This window comes from Homo sapiens, chromosome 6 (genome assembly GCF_000001405.40).
Source record: "Homo sapiens chromosome 6, GRCh38.p14 Primary Assembly".
NCBI lineage: Eukaryota > Metazoa > Chordata > Mammalia > Primates > Hominidae > Homo > Homo sapiens.
This window is the reverse complement of record NC_000006.12, coordinates 82,226,527-82,252,070: the sequence shown is the minus strand read 5'-3', so window position 1 is coordinate 82,252,070 and position 25,544 is coordinate 82,226,527. Positions and strand designations below refer to the sequence as shown.

At 39.7% G+C, this 25,544-nt stretch overlaps 1 protein-coding gene across 2 annotated transcripts in view, besides 3 other annotated features; it reads left to right on the top strand.

Annotated features, from left to right (window-relative positions):
* The window catches only part of IBTK (inhibitor of Bruton tyrosine kinase), a 77,758-nt gene continuing 56,540 nt past the window's right edge, over positions 4,327 to 25,544 (top strand). For both annotated transcript variants that reach the window (NM_001300906.2, NM_015525.4), the window contains exons 1-5: positions 4,327 to 4,509; positions 11,228 to 11,905; positions 17,816 to 17,912; positions 20,229 to 20,353; positions 24,769 to 24,879. In NM_001300906.2, coding sequence (NP_001287835.1) covers positions 11,585 to 11,905; positions 17,816 to 17,912; positions 20,229 to 20,353; positions 24,769 to 24,879 — 654 coding nt within the window. In that variant the 5' untranslated portion in view covers positions 4,327 to 4,509; positions 11,228 to 11,584. The remainder of the gene's footprint in view (positions 4,510 to 11,227; positions 11,906 to 17,815; positions 17,913 to 20,228; positions 20,354 to 24,768; positions 24,880 to 25,544) is intronic.
* Positions 4,525 to 4,694: a silencer, noted in NCBI's record as "silent region_17353". NCBI's record gives its function as "represses an Ori minimal core promoter by ATAC-STARR-seq in GM12878 lymphoblastoid cells {active_cell/tissue: GM12878}" and the evidence as "EXISTENCE:reporter gene assay evidence [ECO:0000049][PMID:35858748]".
* Positions 11,446 to 11,963: an enhancer, noted in NCBI's record as "NANOG hESC enhancer chr6:82949825-82950342 (GRCh37/hg19 assembly coordinates)". NCBI's record gives its function as "activates a minimal SCP1, AML or CMV promoter by ChIP-STARR-seq in naive H9 embryonic stem cells {active_cell/tissue: H9 hESC(naive)}" and the evidence as "EXISTENCE:reporter gene assay evidence [ECO:0000049][PMID:30033119]".
* Positions 24,002 to 24,202: a silencer, noted in NCBI's record as "peak5922 fragment used in MPRA reporter construct". NCBI's record gives its function as "represses an SCP1 promoter by STARR-seq MPRAs in K562 erythroleukemia cells {active_cell/tissue: K562}" and the evidence as "EXISTENCE:reporter gene assay evidence [ECO:0000049][PMID:32103011]".

The following is a 25,544-nucleotide window of genomic DNA, read 5'->3' as shown; positions in this document are numbered from 1 at the left end:
TCCAGGCAGTTCATTTCAGGTTATGTCAATTAAGTTGCTAAGAGTTGTACTAAGAGCTTCATATATATAATATATACATTATATTATATATATATATAAAATCTCATTTAAACTTCTTAAGAACTTTATGAAAGCAATACTATTAACCCTATTTCAGAGATGAGGAAACTAGGCTTAGAGGGTTTATGTAACTTGCCTGACATCTCACAGATAGTAAGCATAGGAGTAAAACTTTATATCTGGGCACCTTGCCTCTAGAATCCTTGTCTCCAGGAGTAAAACTAACAAATCTAAAAATAAAACAGTGTGATACATTATATGACTAAGTGATAGAAGCAGTATAAAGGGAATAATTGCTAGGAAAGGCCATCCGGAAAGTCTTCACAGATATGTGGGGAGGTGACCCTCTGTAAGTAAGGATTGGAAAGATAATGATTCTATAGGAAGAACGCAGCTGGGACCATACACCTGAATCCAGAAGAACACAAACACCCTATGTGGCCTATTGTTTTGTCTGCCTCACCCTGCTTTCTTTTGGGGAACTACTCTTCACTCTGCTTTAACCATGACTCTAATAGAGGATGTCAATCATGTTATCCTTGATTCCTCACCTAATCCAAGCCGACATGAGTCCGTCAGGTGCCTAGAACTTTTGTGCTTGAGATAATAGGCTCAGTGCTATCTTCCCTAATGGCAAACCTGAGGTGAGATATGTGATTTATGTGAGGTACTTAATTTGTGTGCCAGAAAGTTGTAGTCAACCAGTGATGTCCTGTAGAAGATGGTGTGGAGTAGAAGAGAATGAGGCTAAACAATAAGGTTCCAGTCATCTCTAGGCCAGCTGCACTATTGATCTTCCTCTAAAAATCATTCTTGTAGAACCTAATCAGGTTTGGGTTTCTAATCAAATTCTAGTGTTTTCTCTTCTGCCACCAGCACTGTCATTTCCTACTCCTATACAACTTGAAAGACAGCAAAATACACATAATGATGTCAGTACTTTTAATTATAAAGGATAGTACTACCAATTTATTTTGGAAAAATGGTATTTAGGGAGTTTATTATAGATGCCATGTGGCTTAGAAATATTTCTGCAGTGCTCCACTCTTGATGCCTGTACTATTCTTTTTCTACTCCCTCCGCCCATCACTGCAATCTTTTTATTTATTTATTTATTTATTGAGACAGAGTCTCGCTCTTTCACCCAGGCCGGAGTGCAGTGGCGCTATCTTGGCCCACTGCAATCTCCACCTCCCAGGTTCACGCCATTCTCCTGCCTCAGCCTCCCGAGTAGCTGGGACTACAGGTGCCCGCCACTGCGCCCGGCTAATTTTTTTTGTATTCTTTAGTAGAGATGGGGTTTCACCGTGTTAGCCAGGATGGTCTCGATCTGCTGACCTCGTGATCTGCCTGCCTCGGCCTCCTGGGATTACAGGCATGAGCCACTGTGCCTGGCCCATCACTGCAATCTTTTAAAGTCATCTCTGGTTTTTTTATTTTTTACTTTAAAAAATAAAACTACTTTAGAAACTCTAGTCAATTATTTTTCCAAACTTTGATTTTTTTAATCATTCAAGTAATATTTAAATTATTGCAATGAAAATTACAAAAGTCAAAATGATAGAAATTAAGAATCACCCATAATCCCACCATAGAAACAATCATTGTAGATATATTTTGACCTATTCTTTCATGTGTAAACACAAAATTTTTTTAAAAATCAAACAAAATGGCTCATTTTGATTTCTTCCTCCCTTAACCACATCTACAATATATTTTTCATTTAATTGTATTTCATTTGTACTATTTCCTAATTATTTTAATATTTTGTCTTGCAAATAACCAGTAAGTACTTTTGAAAGCATCTAACTTTCCTGGGAAAAGGGGAGCAATTCTACATTCCTTTGACTGGAATGTTATTTCTTTCCTGCTTCATCTACTTATCTCCTCGTTATCTAGTTATCTGAGTTATCTTCTGCTCAGTCTTTAGTTCATGTGTCACATCTTTTGGAAGTCAGATAAATCTATCAGATTAATACTTATAAACGTTGCAATTTATTATGCTTGGGAATATCTGGGTCTACATGTATTTTTGTTCACTGTTGGATCCCCAATGCTTACCACAAATTGTCCGAGACCTGGTAATTTTAACTTTTATTTATTACTATTTTTTGAGACAGGATCTCACTCCGGTTGCCTAGGCTGGAGTGCAGTGGCGTTATCTTGACTCGTTGCAGCGGCGTGATCTTGACTCACTGCAGCCTTGATCTCCTAGGGCTCAGGGTATTCTCCCACTTCAGCTTCCTGAGTAGCTGGAATCACAGGCGTGCGCCACCATGCCTAATTTTTTTTTTAATTTTTAGTAAAGGCGGGGTTTCACCATGTTGTCCAGGCTGGTCTTGAAATCCTGGGCTCAAATGATCCACCTGCCTCTGCCTCCCAAAGTGCTGGTATTACAGGTGTGACTCACCTTGCCTGGCCGTAACTTTTAAATTAATGAATGCCTGCTTGGACTAATTCAGCCACTAAGGAAATACTTTATTCATTAGCACTATTTATGAAGTATTATTGTGTGTGACTAAGGCTCTCTGCTAAGTGCTATATATCTCTATCATTACATTTTCACAACCCCAAAATACATTATTTCTCCCATTTTGCAAATGAGGAAACTGAGGCTTCAGAAAAGTGAATTAACTTGCCCAGATACAAGAGAGAGAAGTTACGAACTCAGGTCAATGCATTTATTTACACTAGCAGCTTTATTTGCCATTATTGGCTTCTTTGTTCATGAATATGAAAGTCATTATATGTAGCTTCTTTTTTTAAATATCTGGAGATACAACTTAAGCTTATTTTCTTTCTTTTTTTTTTTTTTTTTTGAGACGGAGTCTCACTGTCACCCAGGCTGGAGTGCAGTGGCTCGATCTGGGCTCACTTCAAGCTCCGCCTCCCGGGTTCACGCCATTCTCCTGCCTCAGCCTCCCCAGCAGCTGGGACTACAGGCACTTGCCACCACGCCCAGCTAATTTTTTGTATTTTTTTAGTAGAGGTGGGGTTTTACCGTGTTAGCCAGGATGGTCTCGATCTCCTGACCTCGTGATCCGCCCGCCTCGGCCTCCCACATTGCTGGGATTACAGGCGTGAGCCACCGCGCCCGGCCAACTTAAGCTTATTTTCAAAACCACTCAATTTTGACATTACAAACTGGTTTTTGTTTTGTAGAAGGACATTAAGAATAAAGAGCAAAGAAACAATTATGTGCTGGGAAGGGCAGTAGGAGGGCTGGGTCCTAGTCTCCCTTTCTCTTTCGCTAAGCAGCTGTGTGGCTTTGGGCTAGTAACCTACCCTCCCACAAAAAAGGCTTCAAAAGAGAGCAAGCAGAGCTCAGTGGGCATTAAGACATGCGCAACTCCTTTCTTTTAGAGATTAGATGAGGTCGACTCAGTGGCTTGTAAAACTCAACGTGGCAGAGCTGTACAGCCAACTCATGATTCTTAGTGTCGTTTGTTTTGAGTCACACTACACCTCCTTGAACAATCATTTACTGAGTGCTTACCGTATTAGGCATTCAGCAGCAGTGTGTTTCCCATTCAGTAACCTAGTATTGATTATTGGCTACTGTCCCTCCTAGCATTTTTCACTTGACCACTTTCTAAATGGCCTTTAGATTCAGAGTTCAAGTGGAAAAAGCCTAGTGTAAGCCTGGTGTCAGGCAGTGAGTGGCGTGACCCGGGTCGGCAGCTAGTCCTACGGTGGTGATCTAAGAGGGCAGTGACGCCTTCTGACCAAGGGAGTGACTGCCAGATAATCCGGGTGTATGGAGATCCAGAGAGGGGTGAGGCTGGGTTTACGGAGACTACACCTTTGGCTTTGCAGTAACCCCACTGCTAAGGCCATGGGAGGAAACTCTTCTGTGCAGGACGCCTATGCACTTGGCTTCTGCTGCGTAGCGACCGGGTGTCCAAGGCATCCTGCCAGGTCTCCTTCTCCACTCGGGTTTAGCCTCCCCCGCGAGTCTCCAGCTACCTAGAGAGACGTTTCTAACTACGAGATGGCTGGCCTGAAAGGGACACTCCCATCACCGTTGTTGGCCTAGAGTTCCCCGCTGCGGCCTTTTTCTTTTCCCCGCCCCTGGCCTGAGTCAGCGGCCCCAAGGCCGGCGAGGTCAAGTTCCTTTGGGGCGCCAGGGAAAAGGCCATGGCAGAGGTGCTGCCACGCGAAACCTTCTGGGCAGGCACCAGCCAATCATCAAGAGACATACAGGAGCCCCAGCCAACCAGCGCCCGCCTTATTACTGGGAACCGCCCGCTCGGGCCCTTCCTCTACATCCCCGTTCCCGATTCCTGTAGTAGCGGCTGTATTGCAGCCGCCTGCCGAACTGACCCGGGTCTGGGGACTGGCCCCTCTGGCGCCGTTCGGTTTCTCTTATTGCCTTCACTGAGGATGAGTCCCTTTGTGGCTCTATGTGGACCCTGCGGAATCCACCGGCGCAGTTTCATCTAGCGACTGGTGAGGGAGGGCTTGGCGCTGCCCGACCGTGCGGTGCGGCTTCCCTTCAGCCCGGGGGCAGGGGGAGAGTATTCGCCTTCTGGAGGGTGCGGGTGGCTGCGGACGGCGGCGCGGGGGGACCGTGGGGAGGGGACTCTGTGGCCCCGAGGCTGCCGGGCTTCGCGCGAGGCGGCGCGGAGAGGGCCGAGTGGCCAGGGTCCCTACCGCCCCCCTCAGCTAATGAATGGCCTGTCCCGGCGATGCGCTACGCTCCCGTCCTGCTGGACACGCCCTCCAGCGACATTGCATTCCTAGTTGTGATAGTTATGTAGTGTCACTTTCCTTCGAGTCTTGGATTTGAAGCCATTCCTGTGGGCGCTCATGTTCCTTATCCCCTTCCTGGAGTCACAAGTTTGAGTCCACCCTGGGGATACTGACTCTGGGGAAGCAGGTCGTGAAATCTGATAAGTGGACATTGATTGCTATGTAAAAAGGAACTGATTCTTTTTGGAGGGTGGAGGGTTGAGAGAGACAGAGAAGACAGGCCCTTTGTTTTTGTAACAGGCAGAGCTGTCTGGCTCAAAGAGTTTTAGTTCAGCTGCGAATTAGGTAACATAGGCCGTCCTTGACTCCTGTTTTCCAACGTAGTTCATAAAACTTGACTGTGTTAGCCAGAGATTCATGTAGCACCTTTTAACTTATGCCTCGAAGTAGGCCATTTGAAATTTATCAGAAATACTGAAAGGATATGACTTTTATGAGTAGTAGTGTTTCAGTGCCCATAAAGTGGTGTAAATTCACAGGCTTGCCAGCCCCCTCTTGATCATTTCTCTTTTTGTATTTTGAATTCCTTAACTTTTATTTGTTTTAGAAATTGAGGCAAGGTAGATGAGGACAAAACTGGTTTCTAAAAATAATTACATTTGCAAATATTTGCAGAAGCTTTAGTCAAACCAGAGTTTACTTCAAGAAATTTTTTAGGCCGGGCGCGGTGGCTCACGCCTGTAATCCCAGCTACTGGGGAGGCTGAGAATTGCTTGAACCCGGGAGGTGGAGGTTGCAGTGAGCCGAGATCGCGCCGCTGCACTCCATCCTGGGCGACTGAGTGTGGCACCATCTCAAAAAAAAAAAAAAAAAAAAAGATGCCTGTAATCCCAGCAGTCTGGGAGGCCAAGGTGGGCGGATCACTTGAGGTCAGGAGTTCGAGGCCAACTTGGTGAAACCCCGTCTCTACCAAAAATACAAAAAAATCAGCCAGGCATGGTGATGTGTGCCTGTAATCCCAGCTACTCGGGAGGCTGAGGCAGAATCGCTTGAGTCTCCAGCTGCCCTACCAAACTGCTTTTGAATTCAATTATTTTGAATTGAATTCCATGGTACTTTTTTCTACTACACTATACTACTTGCATTGAAATTTTTCTAACTGCCTTTTGGGAGAGCAGTTTGGTAGCATAGAATAGGTGGGATCAAGAGCACTTTTCTGTCGGTATTATTTTAGGTAGGCTTTTTAAACTTTCACATGAATCTCCTCATCAGAAAATGAAAGTGATCATATTTACAGGGGCAATAATAAGGATTATATTTATGTAGAGCACTGTGTATAATGTATAAAACAAAATTTCACCTATAATTTTTGTGTGTTTTTTCCGTTGTTTAATTTTGTTTTGCTTTACTCACTTCCAAAGTATTGACCCCTTACTCTTCTTTCTAGTTTCCCTATCTGTTCTCCAAGCCAGAAACCTGGGAATTACCACCACATCTTGTCAATTCAAGATCCTAAGTATGTCTTTGGATTGCCTGCCCTTTTTTTTTTAAATCTCTAAGAAAAGGCACATAAGGCTGTTCAAAATCCTGTCTATCCTTGTGTGTATGTTAGGCCTCACTTCTTTCTGTCTTCTGAATTATTTAGAAATTTTGGAATGGACCAAGATGATTCTAGTTCTTTTATATTTACTATCCCTTCTGCTTCAAATGTGCTCTCACCCAGAATTTATCAGGCCAACACATATGGTACTCTTTTTTTTTTTAGAAGGAGTCTCGCTCAGTCGCTCAGGCTGGAGTGCAGTTGCATGATCTTGGCTCTCTGCAGCCTTGACTGACCAGTTTTAAGTGATCCTCCCACCTCAGCCTCCAGAGTAGTTGGGACTACAGGGATGTGCCACTACGCCTAATTTTTGTATTTTTTTTTGTAGCGATGGCTTTCACCATGTTGCCCAGGCTGATTTCAAAGTCCTGGGCTCAAGTGATTTGCCTGCCTCAGCCTAACAAAGTGTTGGGACTACAGGCATGAGCCACTGTGCCTGGCCAGTACTCATCTTTTAAGTCTTAGTTTATACATAGTTTATCTCCTGTAGAAAGTCTTACCTGGACCCCTCTTCTGCACTCCCCGTTCCTATGTGTCACTTGTTTTATCTTGACCATAGGTTTATAATTATGATATGTTTTAGTTACTTGCCTAAATAAAATTACTCTCTTCTACCAAACTGTGACCCTTTGATAATAGGAACTGTGTAATAGATCATAAGTTTTGTTCAGTTAGTACATATGTTAAACTAGCTATGCATCCACCTGAGTATTATCCATGAACCTGTATTTTATTTTATCTAAAATATTTAGGTCCTAATTATTTTTGTATTCCCAATGCCTTGTGACCTACTATGGATGCGCTGAAGAAGACAGTGTAACGTAGCAGAAATAGCACGGACCTCATCATTAAACAGATCTGTATTTGAAGTCTGACTCCCTCTTTTCTTGGTGGTATGATTTAGGTGGTTTACTTGACTGGTCTGATGTAAAGCATTCCGTATGTATTAGGTCTTTAAATGCTTATTTCCTTTGCTTTCTTCCCCTTCTTTAAGCAGTTTTTGAATGCATAGATAAGAAGTACAATAGGCATTGGAAATATGGGCCTGGAGTTTAGGGCAAATATGTGAGCAAGAGACAGATTTGGGGATTTATAATCATGTGTACGGTAGAGTTAAAAGCATGAAAAGGATTGAAACTATCAGGAACAATATGAAGTAGAGGACTGAGGATTATTTCAGAGAAGCCCAGTTTGAAGGACAGGGGAAGCGATAATGCCCTAGGAAGAAGTGGTTAAGAGAGAGAGCCCATGCTTAAATGTTTCTGCGACTTCCTGCCCTTCCTGGATCTCTTTTAGACTCCTTAAGGGAATGAGGTTTTAAAGACATAAAAGCAGGGAAGGCAAGTAAGAATTGAAAATATCTAAAAGTGTTTGGTAATTTGGAAGTCATTAGTAACTTTAGCAATAATGATTTCTTTGGAGAAGTGGTAACAAGTGATAATGAAGCTCAAACATGAATTTTGGAGTTAAAATGTATTACCTTTTTATGACTGAAGAAACAATAGTAATGAAAACTATTATTTGTCGAATGCATATTTAGTGCCAGGTACCATGTTAGGTAGTTTCATTTATCATTATAGTAACCATGTGAAGTCCATGGATTGTTTCTATTTTCAGATGAAGAAACGACTTGGAGAGATTATGTCATTTTTTAGTTATATAACTGATAACAGCTGACATTGCTATATTTGAATCTATGTATGTAAAACTCTAAGAAATCCTAGCTCTTAATCGCTTCCATGTTTATGTTCATAGTATTCTGTAGGTGCCGCTTTCTCTATATGATAGTATGGAATGACTTTTTAACATTCTTTTTTCCCCCCTTTAAATGTTTACATTATATATACTAATGAATTAGGGAATTCTTTTCTGTTGTATCTTAATTCTTTAATGTAAGGTTTGAGTGATTCACCAGTAAGTAGTTCCTTCCAGGTATTATGCATACAATGAAAATACAAACATGGTGGGATTTTAGAGCTTTAAAAGAATGAAATTAACTGGATGAACTATTTTGCCACATACAATAAATAGTCCCTACTTATCCAAGGACACATTCTAAAACCCCCAGTGGATGCCTGAAACTGCAGAGAGTACTGAACCCTATATATGCTATGTTTTTACAATTTGCTAACCAAGAGGGCTACTCAGTGACTATCGAGTTGGTAGCATGTACAGTATGGCAATGCTGGACAAATGTATGATTCATGTCTCAGGTGAGGTGGAGTGGTTTGGAGTGGGACACTATGAGATTTCATCATACTGCTCAGAATAGTATGCAATTTAAAACATAAATTGTTTATTTCCAAAATTTTCATTTAATATTTTTGGACTATGGTTGATTGTGGGTAATAGAAACCATAGAAAGCAAATGGATAATGGGGAACTACTGTGTCATGCTTTCCATTTTTAACCTTTTAAAGTACTTGACGATTGGTACCTTTTTTTCTCTTTGCTACCAAACACTTTTTTTTTTTTTTTTTGAGACAGAGTCTCTCTGTCGCCCAGGCTGGAGTGCAGTGGCACGATCTCGGCTCACTGCAAGCTCCGCCTCCCAGGTTCACGCCATTCTCCTGCCTCAGCCTCCCAAGTAGCTGGGACTACAGGCGCCCGCCACCACACCCGGCTAATTTTTTGTATTTTTAGTAGAGACGAGGTTTCACCGTGTTAGCCAGGATGGTCTTGATCTCCTGACCTCGTGATTCGCCTGCCTTGGCCTCCCAAAGTGCTGGGTTTACAGGCATGAGCCACCGTGCCCGTCTTTTGTTTTGTTTTGTTTTGTTTTTGAGACAGAGTCTTGCTTTGTCACCAGACTGGAGTGCGGTGGCGGGATCTCGGCTCACTGCAGCCTCCACCTCCTGGGTTCAAGCATTTCTCCTGCCTCAGCCTCCCAAGTAGCTGGGATTACAGGAGTGTGGCCAGCTAATTTTTGTATTTTTAGTAGAGATGGGGTTTCACCATCTTGGCCAGGATTGTCTTGATCTTTTGACCTCATGGTCCGCCCACCCCGGCCTCCCAAAGTGCTGGGATTACAGACGTGAGCCACCGTGCTCGGCCCCCAAACACATTTTTATTTGTTTTATCTTGTTCTTTTTGTTGCTGTTGTTCAAATCAGTGTTTTAAGGGGGAGATGATTTTTATGAGGACTATATCAAATTACAGAATGTATTAGTAGAACAGATCTGGAGCTATTAAGTTGGTACAAAAGTAATTGTAGGTTTTGCCATTAAAAATAATCGCCATTACTTTTAGAGGGTTGGTTGTTGTGTTGGTGGTGGTGATATAGTTTTAGGGGGTATAGGTTTGGGATTGGATTCTTAAAAGTAATTGCCATTAATTTTTTTTTTTTTTTGATACAGAGTTTTGCTCTTGTTGCCCAGGCTGGAGTGCAATGGTGTGATCTTGGTTCACCACAAACTCTGCCTCCTGGGTTCAAGCGATTCTCCTGCCTCAGCCTCTCGAGTAGCTGAGATTACAGGCATGTGCCACCACGCCTGGCTAATTTTGTATTTTTAATAGAGATAGGGTTTCTCCAGGTTGGTCAGGCTGGTCTCAAACTCCCAACCTCAGGTGATCTGCCCGCCTCGGCCTCCCAAAGTGCTGGGATTACAGGCATGAGCCACTGCGCCTGGCCATTGCCATTACTTTTACTAGCAAAATCTGCAACTACTTTTGTACCAACCTAATAGAGAAGATTATAATCATCTAGTTTCCAGGTGGAGAAATCAAAGTAGTTAAGATCAGAAAACTAGTTAGATCTCAGATTTCTGACTCTTTGGTGTGGTATGAAGTGGGAGTGGAAAAATACAGATTTAGAATATTTCATACTTCCCTCTGATGCATAGAAGCTTTCCCTATACATATAGTAAACTCAAGTATGTCCTTCTAAATAGTCTTCTTATAGCCAATTTTCTCTGCTCCCAAAGACTACACATTAAGGAAGATCTAAAAGACCATATATATTGAGGCAAATTTTTCTCCTTTTGTCTTTAAACTTTTTAATGTAATTTTTAAACTATTGAATTAATCTTTTATGACTTTCGGATTTCAGATCCTGCTTAGAAAGGTGTTTTGTACTTTGTGATTATAAAAAAAGAGTCTTTTGTATTTTCATCCAGTGCTTTTGTAGTTTCGTTTTTTTGTTTGCCTTTGAACCATCTAGAATTTATATTGGTATAAGATATAAAGTAAGTACCGTATCTAAAGTTGTTTTTTAAAGATAGCTATCCAGTTGTTTTAATACCTTTGTTTAATTATCATCTCTTCATGTGATGAAGGACTTTTCAGGCAGAGGTAACAATATTAACACAGTGCCTGGGTACTTAGTAAAAACGGAGTAACTGATGAGAGTGTTGGTTATTGTTGTGTTGGTGGTGATGATACAGTTTTAGGGGGTATAGGTTTGGGATGGGATTCTTAGAAAGATGGTAGATTTAAGCGTATTCATAGCTTGTGGGGACATAACTAGTAGAGTGTAAAAATACAGCATAGAAGGAATGAAGGACTGGAAAGAAAGAGAAACTCCAGAGTACAACCAATGTGGGTTAACTTTAAACATGAGAGTGGAAAAATGGAGTAAGGATGACTGATAAAAATATAGGTACCATAAATATGAAAGGTCGATAGATTTAAGAAAAAAAAGGAATTAACCCGTTTATGCCAGAGGTTGCAAATGTTTTTTGTGAAAAATCAGATCTTGGCGATGACCTTGAGCATTAGGATATAAATAACTCCCGTAAGCTTAGTGTTCCAGTAATGGAACACTAAGCATAAATGGGTTAAGGGCATCTAAATATGGAGGTAGTTGTGTTCTAAAGTACTCAAGGAGAGCGAGAGACAGATTTTGAATTTTTATTTTCTCTTCTCTTTCTCTTATAGGTCACCCTTGCAATTATGGATATTTAAAAGGGTCAGACAGTGTGGAGGGGGAGTTCCCCTCCTCACTCCCCCTTGGTGCTTGACTCCAGGAATAATTTATAAACTGTGGAATTTTTTTAAATGAAGAACTTGTATTTGATATGAACTTTATAGAGCTATTTATAATTTTTTTGATTTAAGTGCCAAAAAATTGTATAAAGATATATAGTTTTATACTATTGTCAGGAGGATTTAAATTATCCTAAAAAGGTAATTTATTCTCTGTAACTTCCTCAATAGCACCTTTGTGTCCTGGCTTTTTCATTTTTTAAAATTAGTTTTCACGATTCTGAAGTAAGTGGTATAAAAACAGTTAGGATGAGTTCACCCATGCCTGACTGCACATCAAAGTGTCGATCCCTGAAGCATGCTTTGGATGTCCTTTCTGTGGTAACAAAGGGGAGCGAAAACCAGATTAAGGCCTTTCTCTCCAGTCATTGTTACAATGCTGCAACTATCAAGGATGTTTTTGGCAGGAATGCCCTCCACCTTGTTTCCTCCTGTGGAAAGAAAGGAGTGTTAGATTGGCTTATTCAGAAAGGAGTGGATCTGTTGGTGAAAGACAAAGAGTCTGGATGGACAGCATTGCACAGAAGCATTTTTTATGGACATATTGATTGTGTTTGGTCTCTATTGAAGGTAATTGTCATTTGTTTATTTTAAACGTATTTAGTCTGGAATATGTTTTTCTTAATCATTTTCATACATCCTACATGCTTTTTGGAAAATATTTGCATTTTTTCTTGCTTGTTTGCTATCTCTTACTACTGTAACTGATCTTTGGAATTAAAACTCCATATATCCTTTTACTTAACTTTTTTGTGATGTAAAATTTTAAACATTTATCATGCTTACTATATATAATGAACTGTTGGCCAATTTTGTGTTATTTGTACATCTCATAATATTTTGAACTAAATCCCATACATCATTTAATGAGTATTATACATTATTAAAAGAAATACTTTACATTAAGTAAGCACAATTTATTTGCACAAAGAATGATTTATGAATCGGGCAGCATTCAGAACCAGAAGAGGCTCAGAGAGCTGTGCTGCAGCCTGAGCAGTGAGCTTTTATAGGCCGATGCAGAATAAAGACAAAGAAAATATATTTAATTGGTTAGAGTGGAAAGACCCTAGTTAGAGGTTAGTTGGTGGTTTCTGATTGGTAAAGACTCTAGTTTCATTTTACTGTTTACTGGCTGTGTGTTTACTTATGGATAAACTTAAAGTGCTAGAGTTGCCCCAGTCTAATGGCATCTCAATTAGTATTTTTGTAACAATATCTTTTAGTATTTTAAAATGATTTATTCTTAAATAACTATATTATTAACTTTATTTTATTTATTTATGTTTTTGAGATGGAGTTTCGCTCTGTCGCCGAGGCTGGAGTGCTGTGGCCCCTGATCTCGGATCATGGCAAGCTCCGCCTCCCGGGTTCACACCATTCTCCTGCCCCAGCCTCCCAAGTAGCTGGGACTACAGGCACCCACCACCACGCCTGGCTAATTTTTTGTATTTTTTTAGTAGAGATGGGGTTTCACCGTGTTAGCCAGGATGGTCTCGATCTCCTGACCTCGTGATCCACCCACCTCGGCCTCCCAAAGTGCTGGGATTACAGGCATGAGCCACCATGCCCAGCCTATTATTAACTTTAAAAGGGCAGTAGTTGTTGAACATTATTTAGGAATTGTGTTTTTGAGTAGTATGTTTCATTTCTTGTTTAGTTAACATACGGTGTTTATAAGCTCTAAAGAAACTGATGAGGCCAGGTGTGGTGGCTCATGCTGTAATCCTAGCACTTTGGAGGCCGAGGTGGGCCGATCACTTGAGGTTATGAGTTCGAGACAAGCCTGGCCAACATAGTAAAACGCCATCTCTACTAAAAATACAAAAATTAGCCAGGTGTAGTGGCGTGTGCTTGTAGTCTTAGCTACTTGGGAGACTGAGGCATTAGAATCAGCTAAGCCCAGGAGGCAGAGGTTGCAGTTTGCCAAGATCGTGTCACTGCACTCCAGCCTAGGCGACAGAGTGAGACTCTGTCTCAAAAAAAGAAATTGATGGCCAGGCGCGGTGGCTCACGCCTGTAATCTCAGCACTCTTGGAGGCAAAGGCAGGTGGATCACCTGAGATCAGGAGTTCAAGACTAGCCTGGCCAACATGGTGAAGCCCTGTCTCTTCTAAAAATACAAAAATTATTAGCTGGGTGTGGTGGCACATGCCTGTAATCCTAGCTACTTGGGAGGCTGAGGCAGGAGAATCACTTGAACCCAGGAGGCGGCGGTTGCTGTAAGCTGAGATCGCACCATTGTACTTCAGCCTGGGCAACCGAGGACGACTCCATCTCAAAAAAAAAATCATTAAAATTGTTTAATTTATATAAAATTTTCTTTCTAGTAGATTAGGTGTGTTGTATTGAATAGGCAAATAATAAAGCGTTTTGAAATACACCCCAATGTCATTTCACTAATGAATGCAAATTAGAAACTCACTGTCAGAAGTCATGAGTTTTAAATTTAACAATTTTATTTTATTTTATTTTTATTATTATTTTTTTTTGCGACGGAGTCTTGCTTTGTTACCCAGGCTGGAGTGCAGTGGTGTGATCTCCGCTCACTGCAACCTCCACCTCCCAGGTTCAAGTGATTCTCCTGCCCCAGCCTTCCCGATACCTGAGATTACAGGCATGTGCCACCGTGCCCGGCTTATTTTTGTATTTTTAGTAGAGACGGGGTTTCCCCATGTTGGCCAGGCTGGTCTTGAACTCCTGATCTCAAGTGATCCACCTGCCTCAGCCTCCCAAAGTGCAGGGATTACAGGTGTGAGCCACCATGTCTGGCCTTAAATTTAACAATTTTTTTTGTATAGGGATTTTGTCATGTTTGTGGAGGACCTGGAAAAGAAAAAAACAGTTCTGGTCCTTAAGGAACTTCTGGTCAAATTCAGAAGCTTACCTTCAGTGTCTTCATTTAATTTTGACTTAAAAAATATTTCTGTAGTGGCTTTTATGTAGTAACATTTACTGATAAGAATAATTTTTATTATATAGTAATAGTAAAATATTCTTTTGTGGAGTTAAACTCCCTACTGATCTTCTACTATTACTGCTACTACTACTACTACTACTACTACTACTACTACCACTACTATCTTCTACTACTACTACTACTGCTACTACTACTACTATCTTCTAGTACTACTACCACCACCACTACTACTACTACTACTGCTGCTGCTGCTGCTGCTGCTGCTACTACTACTACTTAGTGAATCATCGTGGACAAATTATTAAATCTTGAACTTCAGTTTTATCTATAAAAAGAGAGTAATAATAGCACTTTCCTTTTTTTTTCCCCCCCAGGGACTATCCATGAAGTAAAGCATTTTTAAGTTTGTTAATGGTAGAGAAGATTCCTCTTATATCTGAAACCTTGGGGTATCTGTTTAATTCCCTTATTGTCATTATAGGGAAAGCTAGGTTAGTAAGAGTTAAAGCATCTCTCAGCTCCATTCTTACCCTTTTCCATCTGTAAAACCTTGGCTTTTTTTTTTTCAGTTTCTGCTGGAAAGTTGGATGACTGCCAACCCTGCTGAGTTTGAGAAGGTCCCTGGGTTTGGGTTTCCTGCCATCCTAGGGGTTGCCATTTAGGTGTTAGCATTTAGGGCTACAGTTTGAAATAGTTATGGTCTGGACTGAATTTTGGTCCTTTCCTTCCTGTGAGATTTTATTGCCCCATCGAAATCCTCAGTCACTCTAGCCACCTTGGCTAATAGAAGCCAGGAAATTGTGCCGTTGTCACCTTGCCCTTAGCTTGACTGTCTTATTGGCATCAGAGCCCTGCTGATCAGTGATAGATACATAACAGTGGATGTATTCCACTGACGGTTTTCCCCTAAATCCTGTATTAACCATTCAGCATTCTCATGTTGGTAGGCTGTCTGCTTTTGTTCAGCATATTTTTTTACTTTGACCTTCCAACACTTCTTTAATTGGAAGGGGTGCAGTGATAGGTGTCTTCATGTCAGTTCCGTCTCTGATGTCAGCTGTAGCACTTCAGGTATTATGGATTATCAGGAAGAAACCACACACATTTTAATGAATTTAAATTTGATAAAACTTCATAGCTATAACATTTGTAAATTGCACAGTAAATTGTCAGTTTCTTAATGCCAAAGATATAAAACCTTAGCAGAAACTTGTTGCCTACAAAAAGCTGGAATAGAGACAGATTATCTTATGTAGCTCTTTTGGGGCTTCTTGATTCCATGACAGGATGCATGGCTGGTAAAGACTGTTTATGCTTGTGGAGTCCTGCTGTATCTGTTGTTGCTAAACCATTGCTCTTTTATACTGGTGGTTTACTTACTATTCTGGAAGAACTTGCTTTAATTTTTCCCATTTGTAAACAGAAGACTTCACAGAATCATAGGTTATATGGATTAAATAATATACTGTCTGTGAGGTATTTGGAACAAATATTTTTTGAGTGCCTGATATGTGCCAGGCAGTAATCCAGGTGCTAGGGATATTGCAGTGAACAAGACAGAATCCCTTCTTTGTTTAAGTTTTTATTCTACTAGGGGGAGATAGACCAAAACCAAAACCAAGCAATTAAATTAATGAACAATGGCCGGGCATGGTGGCTCACAACTGTAATTCCAGCACTTTGGGAGGCCAAGGCGGGCAGATCACCTGAGGTCAGGAGTTCGAAACCAGCCTGGGCAACATGGCAAAACCTCATCTCTACTAAAAATACAAAAAGTAGCTGGGCGTGGTGGCACATGCCTGTAATCCCAGCTACGGGGGAGGCTGCGGCAGGAGAATCGCTTGAACCCAGGAGATGGAGGTTGCAGTGAGCCGAGGTCACGCCATTGCACTCCAGCCTGGGTGACAGAGCAAGACTCCGTCTCAAAAAAACCAAAAAAAACAATAACAACAAAAATTAATGAACAAATAGGAACATGCTTGATAAATATTGATGTATTAGAGTTATTTTTGCCTGCAACTGGAACCAACTATGGTAACATAAACAAAATATATTGAAGGGATATCAGATACCTCGCAGAATAAACAGGTCATCAACAATTAACTGTCAAATTATAAATAAGAAAAAATTCCTCAAACTAAAATAGAGTAAGTATAAACTAAATAAACTGATTTGAAATTTTATGTCTCTCCTTCTCCAGATAATTTTTTTTTGTTTTTTTGAGACGGAGTTTCACTCTTGTTGCCCAGGCTGGAGTGCAGTGGCGCGATCTCGGTTCACTGCAACCTCTGTGTCCCGGGTTCAAGTGATTCTTCTGCCTCAGCCTCCCAGGTAGCTGGGATTATAGGCATGCACCACCACACCTGACTAATTTTTGTATTTTTACTACAGATGGGGTTTCAGCATGTTGGCCAGGCTGACGTTGAACTCCTGACCTCAGGCGATTCATCCACCCACCTCCCAAAGTGCTGGGATTATAGTCATGAGCCACTGCGCCCGGCAGAGTGTGGCTCCTCAAATGCAAGAAGAGTTAAATGTTTATGTTCAGATGCACTCCCACACAGACACAAACCCAGAGCTAGGGACTTGTAGGGACAGTGTATTTATGGGGTATTAAAGGGGTATCAGAAATGCTTTATTGTTAAAAATGTTCACATGGCCGGGAACGGTGGCTCACACCTGTAATCCCAGCACTTTGGGAGGCTGAGGCGGGCTGATCACGAGGTCAGGAGTCCGAGGCCAGCCTGGCCAACATGGTGAAACCCCATCTCTACTAAAAATACAAAAATTAGCCGGGTATGGTGGTGGGCACCTGTAATCCCAGCTACTCGGGAGGCTGAGTCAGGAGAATTGTTTGAACCTGGGAGGCGGAGGTTACTGTGAACTGAGATCGTGCCTTTGCACTCCAGCCTGGGCGACAAAGGCGAGATTCCGTCCCCCCTGCAAAAAAAAGTTCACATGTAGTTAATTTTTATTTAAAATGTTAATTTTTTATTTCTTCACATTTTCTGATTCTTCCTTATTCCAGCAAGAGTCGGATATGTGATTTTTCTTAATTATTCTCTGCAGTATGTGAGAGAAAAATGTGTGTGAATATGAGAGATAATCATTATTAAATTTTTTTTCAGTGTATTTATGGGGTTGATTATCTGACTTTTTGATACATAAGAATAGGAAGTCGGCCAGGTGTGGTGGCTCAGCCTGTAATCCCAGCACTTTGGGAGGCCAAAGCAGGTGGATCACCTGAGGTCAGAGGTCGAGACCATCCTGACCAACATGGAGAAACCCTGTCTCTACTAAAAATAGAAAATTAGCCGGGCGTGGTGGTGGATGCCTGTAATCCCAGCTACTTGGGAGGCTGAGGCAAGAGAATTGCTTGAACCTGGGAGGTGGAGGTTGCGGTGAGCCAAGATTGCGCCATTGCATCACTCCAGCCTGGGCAACAAGAGCGAAATTCTGTCTCAAAAAAAAAAAAATAATAATAAAATAGGAAGTTACTGATGATATAGGTAATTAATAATATATATATATTTATGTATTTGTTTGTTTGTTTGTTTTAGCATGGTGTTAGTCTGTATATTCAAGATAAAGAAGGCTTGTCAGCTTTGGATCTTGTAATGAAGGATAGACCAACTCATGTAGTATTCAAGAATACTGGTAAGAAAATTTCACAAATGGGCTGGGCGCTGCGGCTCACACCTGTAATCCCAGCAATTTGGTAGGCTGAGGCAGGCGGATCACTTCAGGTCAGGAGTTCGAGAATACTGGTAAGAAAATTTCACAAATGGGCTGGGCGCTGCGGCTCACACCTGTAATCCCAGCAGTTTGGTAGACCGAGGCAGGCGGATCACTTGAGGTCAGGAGTTCGAGCCTGACCAACATGGTACAACCCCGTCTCTACTAAAAATACAAAAGTTAGCCGGGCATGGTAGCAGGCAATCCTAGTTACAGGCAATCCTAGCTCCTCTAGGCAATCTTAGAGGCTGAGGCAGGAGTATTGCTTGAACCTGGGAGGTGGAGGTTGCAGTGAGTTGAGATCTTGCCACTGCACTCCAGCCTGGGTGATAGAGCTAGACTTCGTCTCAAAAAAAAAAAAAAAAAAAACTTTACAAATGTATTCCATTAAGGTGCAGCTTAGCTTAGAAAATTTTAATGAAATTTTATTCTTCTTAAAGTAGTGGGGAAATTTATTTGTGTGTGGCTATCTGCAAAGAAATTTTACTTTGGTATATGTTGGATATTTTTTGTTTCATATTCAGAACAATTTTATTTTGCATTTTAAAATTTCAATCCATATTTATGTCTATATAAAAGTACAATCTAAAATGGGAGGACTGTTATAATTGTAACTACTGTAAAGTAATTGATATATACTCAGAAAGTAACATCAGCATTGAGGTAGAAGGAAAAAGGAATGTAAATTTTTATTCCTTTTGTTATTTTTGAGATAGGGTCTCTGGAAATTATCATTATTTTTGTGGTTGTTGTTGAGATAGGGTCTCGCTTTGTCAGTCAGGCTGGAGTGCAGTGGCAAGAACACGGCTCATTGCAGCTTCAACCTTCTGAGCTTAAGCCATCCTCTCACTTCAGCCCTCCAAGTAGCTGGGAATATAGACCCATGCCACCATGCCCAATTAATTTTTTTTTTTTTTTTTTTTTTGAGACAGTTTCGCTCTTGTTGCCCAGGCTGGCGTGCAATGGCGCGATCTTGGCTCACCGCAACCTCCGCCTCCCGGGTTCAAGCTGAGAGGCTCTCTTCTCTCAGCCTCCTGAGTAGCTGGGATTACAGGCATGAGCCACCATGACCAGCTAATTTTGTATTTTTAGTAGAGATGCAGTTTCTTCATGTTGGTCAGGTTGGTCTCGAACTCCTGACCTCAGGTGATCCGTCTGCCTCGGTCTCCCAAAGTGCTGGGATTACAGGCATGAACCACTGCGTGCGGCCAATTTTTATACTTTTTTTATAGAGGTGAGGTTTTGCCACGTTGACCAGGGTAATCTGGAACTCCTGAACTCCAGTGATCCTCCCTCCTCGGCCTCTCAAAGTGCTGGGATTACAGGCGTGAGCCACTGTGCCCGGCTCCAATTATTTTTTTATTCACACATTCTCAGTTTCACTTATCCCTCCAGTTTGTTTGCTCTTTGAGATTTGGAAGTGGGAATTGGCAGAAAAGAAAAGATTTAATTGGGGCACTGTATAGTTTGCATTTAACTAGTAAGCAAGCTGAGTAAGGACACATTCTGTATTTCTATTTCTACCCTGGATACTGCATTGCAGGTTAACAGTGATAATTCCATTCTAAGACTTTATTCATCTTCTAAAATAAAAATGAAGATTTATATCATGAACTTAGCTGTGATTTGTATTCCAGTTTAATGGGCTTTACCCTAATCACTAGTGTGATTTTGTGTCTATGAAAAACAAAGTATTGAAAGTTAGTGTTCCTGTACAAAGAGTAATATCACATTTGCAACATTTAGAACCTTTGTATGTGTGGATTAATAATATCTTACATTTGATACAGTTCTATATATTATTTTCATGGAAACTAAGTAGATATGGCCGGTGGTGTTTTACTCATTTGGCAGTTAAACTTTAGCTGCTAAAGAAACAAGAAACAGCCTGGGCAGAGTGGCTTATGCCTGTAATCCTAGCACTTTGGGGGGCCGAGGTGGGAGGATCACTTGAGCCCGTGAGGTGAAGACCAGTCTGGGCAACATAATGAGACCTTGTCTCAATTATTAAAAAAAAACAACAACAAAAAAAAAAGAAGCAAGGAACAAATGTTTGATTGCTTGCATTGAGACAGGCCTGTACTATGATTTGGATTTTCTATTTCTAGAATTACCTAATATCATATTAATATATTCATTCAGAGAAGAGCGTTGGCATCTTTCTAAATATTGTAGTTAAATTAGTTCTTATATGTGTTTTAAAATATAAAAAAGTATAAAAACTAATTTTTATTTTAGATCCTACAGATGTTTATACTTGGGGCGATAATACAAATTTTACCCTGGGTCATGGAAGCCAGAATAGCAAACATCATCCAGAGTTGGTGGATCTGTTCTCCAGGAGTGGGATTTATATCAAGCAGGTATTTTTGAAGTACAATCTATATACTTTTAGAGATGAGAAAGAACTTTTGTATTTGATTGTTCAGCTTTTCATGTGGATTACATAACTTTGTTTCAGGTACAGTAACATTTTAATGAGGAAATCAATCAATAGAACTTTGCTAATTTTATTTTAGATATTGTTAGCCTTAATTATATTTAGACTTTGTAAAATACCCTAAAATATAAGATATTTGTGCAATTAGTGTTAGAAATTAGAAAATGTTATACAGATAGTAGTTTAATTTAAGAGGGTAAAGCTTCTCTTGATTTTCTAGCTTTTCTATTTAACAAACATTACAATTCTGTAAGCTGTTTCTCAAGTGAATTTGTTGTTGAAGCTCAGTGTTATTTTTGATAAGTGAACAACAGTTCTTTTTTTTTTGGTGGCATTAAAAAATAAAATAATTTCAATTTAGAAAACAACACACTTCTTGCAATTTTTTGTAACAAAATAATGTTTTTAGGTTCCAAGCTATTTATCATGAAGAGAATATGTTTAATCTTATGTGAAGTTGGATGACAGCAGTCTGGAAAGGCTATAGAGTTTTTTAACTGAGGGTCTGGTAAACTGCCAGTCATTCTATTTAATTATTTGTATTCACACTGACAAGCAATAAATAATTAAATGTCTAAGTCTCAGTTCTCAGTTTGGATAGTAGATAGAACTAAAATTTCATCACTTATGGAGACAGATAAGCAATGTTTTGGAAGTGTGGGGTTCAAAAATTTGCCCTTAGATGCTTAGGCACGAGTGATGCTTTTTGTGAACCTGAGTTCTTAAATGTAAGTAATTGTAAAATTTTAATAGATACAATTGTAAAGATTTGGTCTGTGGTCTTATATCCTTACAATGCATGATATCTTCTACTTCCCCAGATACAGCTACTGTTGACAAATCTTTCTGTATTACATTGTGTATATGTGTGTATGTATGTGTATCTCTAGCCCCAGTCTTTCTCTTGAACTTTATTTCAGTTGTACTGTGGGTATTCTTTCAAGATATTTAAATTTAGAATGTCTGAAGTGTTATTTTTGCCACTCCTAAACTACCCTATTCAATTTTTAATGTTATAAATCTCAAATTCTAAATCCTGAAGATGATACCTCAGAGCATGTCTATTTAGTTCTTTTCTGTCTCATGAACCTAGGTGCCATGTCCTTTTCAAGCTCTTTTTTTGGACAGTGACAACAGTGTCCTAATTTGACTTTTTGGCTCCATTCATTTCAACCCCAATAATATTCTTCTCCAGAATTATTTGTCTTAAAAAAGAGCTAATTATGTGTTTATCTACTAAGTCACCTTTGGATAAAGTCCAAACTCTGTGGCTTGGAATGTAAGAACTTTTTCAGTCTTCCTAAATTACCATTTCAACTTACATTTCCTACAACTTCCTAGTTATATTCTTTCTGCATTTTGAAGTTCATAAAACTTCTTTGATCCAGAATATGAGCTTGGAGTGTTTTTATCACTATAGTACTGGCTCTTTCCAACTTTCACCTATTATTTATATATGACATACATAACAACACTTAGTTTATATCCTGAGATTGAATTCTTAGACAGTTTTTAGAGCTACTTTGACAACATATCCCTAGTTTGCCCAGGACAGTTCTGGTTTATGATTATTTTCCTAGTGTAATTGTTAGTATCCCCTTTCATTCTCAAAAATGTTTGCATGATAAATAATATGACCACTATATTTAGGGCTCCATAGAACACTATTTTTTAAACTAAAAGTCACAACCTAATGCATCACAACCAGCAATTGAACAAAAAAAGCAATAGAATCCTTAAACTCTAGAGAATATTAAATTTTGAGAGAACAGGAATAAAAACCCATATAGGAATGAAAAGTGGCTAGAGAAGTAGGGAGTAGAATGGTGTCATGAAAGCTAATATTCTTGTGGGTCTTCTCTGTAGATGTGGAGGGAACTTAGGATAATGAAAGGACTTGTGATGGGCGAGAATCAAGCTTGGTGTCCAAGTCTTTAGTGAATGTGAGAGGGGTGAGCAAGATGGTGAGAAATCAGAGCAGGGGCAGCAAGTGTACAAGCTGCTCACCTAGTCTAGAGCTTTTTGCAGACATGCTAGTCAGTTTTTTTTTTCTCATGCTGAGCTTGAGTGGGTCCTCAGACTCCTCCTTAAAATGATAATCCAACCATTAGCAGCCACTAATGATTGATTGGAATTGTGGCACAAGAAAGACACCTGTTTTTCCTTTTTTGAGGTAGTACATGATATACCTTTATTTCATGAGCTGTTACGGAGCAGGGATTTTAAAGACAAGAGTGAGGGAATCATGATGGCATTAGGAAATCAGAGGGTGATTGAAATGTCTGATCCAAAGAAATATATAGTTTGGAATATTTGAGCATATTCCATTTGCCAGGGTTGTGAGTGAACTAGTGTACTCAAAGAGAAAGCCACATTTCAGGTAAGGCAAGGCAGTGGGCGTGTTTTGTGAAGGTATTAAGGATCTAAGGGATTTTATTTACCACAGAATGAGGGTGAAGCAAGCACAGTGGGTAGGTTTGAAGGAAAGAAATCAGTATAAATTTCAGTCAGGGAAGAGAAAGCAAGTATGGGAATATTAATTGAGTACCAGTTATATAGAGAGCCCCATTTGTTATTGAAAAGGGGCTGATTCTATATTATACAGTACCAAATTAATTAACTACCATGAGACAGAGATTATTAATGTTAGTATTATATATTCCAGATAATTAAAAGCGAAAATCCATGCTCAGTTCTTATTTAAAAATTCAGGGGTTTTAGGCTGGGCGCAGTGGCTCATACCTGTAATCCCAGCACTTTGGGAGGCTGAGGCGGGCAGATCACGAGGTCAGGAGATCGAGACCATCCTGGCTAACACAGTGAAACCCCATCTCTACCAAAAATATAAAAAATTAGCCAGGCGTGGTGGCGGGCACCTGTAGTCCCAGCTACTCGGGAGGCTGAGGCAGGAGAATAGCGTGAACCCGGGAGGCAGAGCTTGCAGTGAACCGAGATGGCGCCACTGCACTCCAGCCTGGGTGACAGAGCGAGACTCCGTCTCAAAAAAAAAAAAAAAGTCTGGGGTTTTTAAAGTTGGATAACTTAAAACTGTCTAGTATTGCAACTGTTGTTTAGTAGTAGAAGTCAGCAGTTGTAGGATGGCATTCTAATATTTAATATAAAATTGAATGAAATGTATTCTTTCTTATTTCATAAAATGAATTTCACTGACAACTTGTAAATTTAAAATACAAATTTGGATTTTATTTTTAAACTTTTTAGGTATTTGTGGTACAGCTAAATGAGATAATAATCTTTGCATTACTTTTTTTATTTGATAGCTATATTGTGCTTACAAAATTCCGAGCGGTCTAGGGTATGTGTAAATATTTAGAGCTTGTCTAGCTTATAATTTTTTTGTTTTCCAAAGGACCTTGACTTTCTGGAAATGATTTTAGGGTTTCTTTATTTCTTACTCATCTTTTTATATCCTAAGTTAGAAATATTTGCAGATGTTGTAAGAAATATAAATGCAAACAATCTTTAAAAATGAGAAGATTTTAAAAATATTATTAAGGTAAAGTGAGTATAATGAATATCAGAGCTTGGAAAATAGCAAAATGTGGCCCAGGGTTAGATATGTAAATATATATATATTTGAAACTGCTGATGGTTTCCTGTTATTGTGTTCTGCTGAGGCAGTTCAACTGTTTCAGTATCTTTGTCTTCTGTAGTATGTGAATAGTAAGTCTGTGTATCAGGGGCAAGGGAGTGTACTGAGATTGAGGCAGATAAGGAAAAAGGAAGTGGGAAAGGAGAGAAAAACTTGAAAATAAATATAAAATTATTTATTAAAATAATTATAAATGTATATTAAAGACATGTTGATAAAACCAAAGATAAAGAAAAGGACATACTGCCCCCTACGCCATGTATAAATGGCTTTATTGTTTTTTGAAAACACTCTGAAGATGTTTCTATTATTTTTATTAGTACCATATATCACTATTTGGTAATCTTTATGCTTCCTGTTGCACTTTGCTCATTTCTTACTGTTTGATATTTCATGAAACTGGAAAACAACTGGCTACTAATTTTTGGAATTGAAGGTTTAAAATTATATTTTCCTTTGGGTAATCTCTTCTGTGGGTAACACATGCTTAATTCTTTCTTTGTTCTTTTTTTTCGTGTCAATGTTTTTAGACATAATTTTAAAACAAAGCATATGTATCTTTTATTTTTATTACAGGAAACTTAAAATGTGGAAATTAAAGTCTTATAAATTCCCCTTGTATCCATTATCCTGTTTAAACAATTAACAATATTCTATTTCTTTTTCATAAAATAAAGGATATTTTATTCAGAGAAGTTTAATAATATTCTCTTGTTTTCCCTTAGGTGGTGCTTTGTAAATTTCACTCCGTGTTTCTGTCTCAGAAAGGGCAGGTTTATACCTGTGGTCATGGTCCTGGAGGGCGATTAGGACATGGAGATGAACAGACATGCTTGGTAATTGAAATGTCATTACACTATTTAGGTAACTTTAGAAAAATGCTGATAAGCTGAAAGATTTAATTAACTAAATTTTTTTTTCAACTGTAAGGACGAAATAATACATCAATTGATAATAGATTTTAAAAAATCTGTTTCCTGATATATCATGTTTAAATTAAGGATTTACATACAATGCAAAAGGATTAAAAAAAGTAATACTTTGCTTATAGCAAATACTGAGTCAGGAGCGTTACATAAGCTTTAAAATGTTTCTAGAGTTGAAATAGAAGAAGGCAGACTAGGCCGGGCGCAGTGGCTCACGCCTGTAATCCCAGCACTTTGGGAGGCTGAAGCAGGCGGATCACCTGAGGTCGGGAGTTCGAGACCGGCCTGGCCAACATGGAGAAACCCTGTCTCTATTAAAAATACAAAATTAGCTGGGCATGGTGGTACATGTCTGTAATCCCAGCTACTTGGAAGACTGAGGCAGGAGAATTGCTTGAACCTGGGAGGCGGAGGTTGCGGTGAGCCGAGATTGTGCCATTGCACTCCAGCCTGGGCAACAAGAGTGAAACTCCGTCTCAAAAAGAAAAAAAAAAAAACAAAAAAGAAGGCACACTAATTGTAAAACACTTTTCCTGAAGTAGTTCTGGTTTTTGTTTTTAACTTCTCATTAAGAT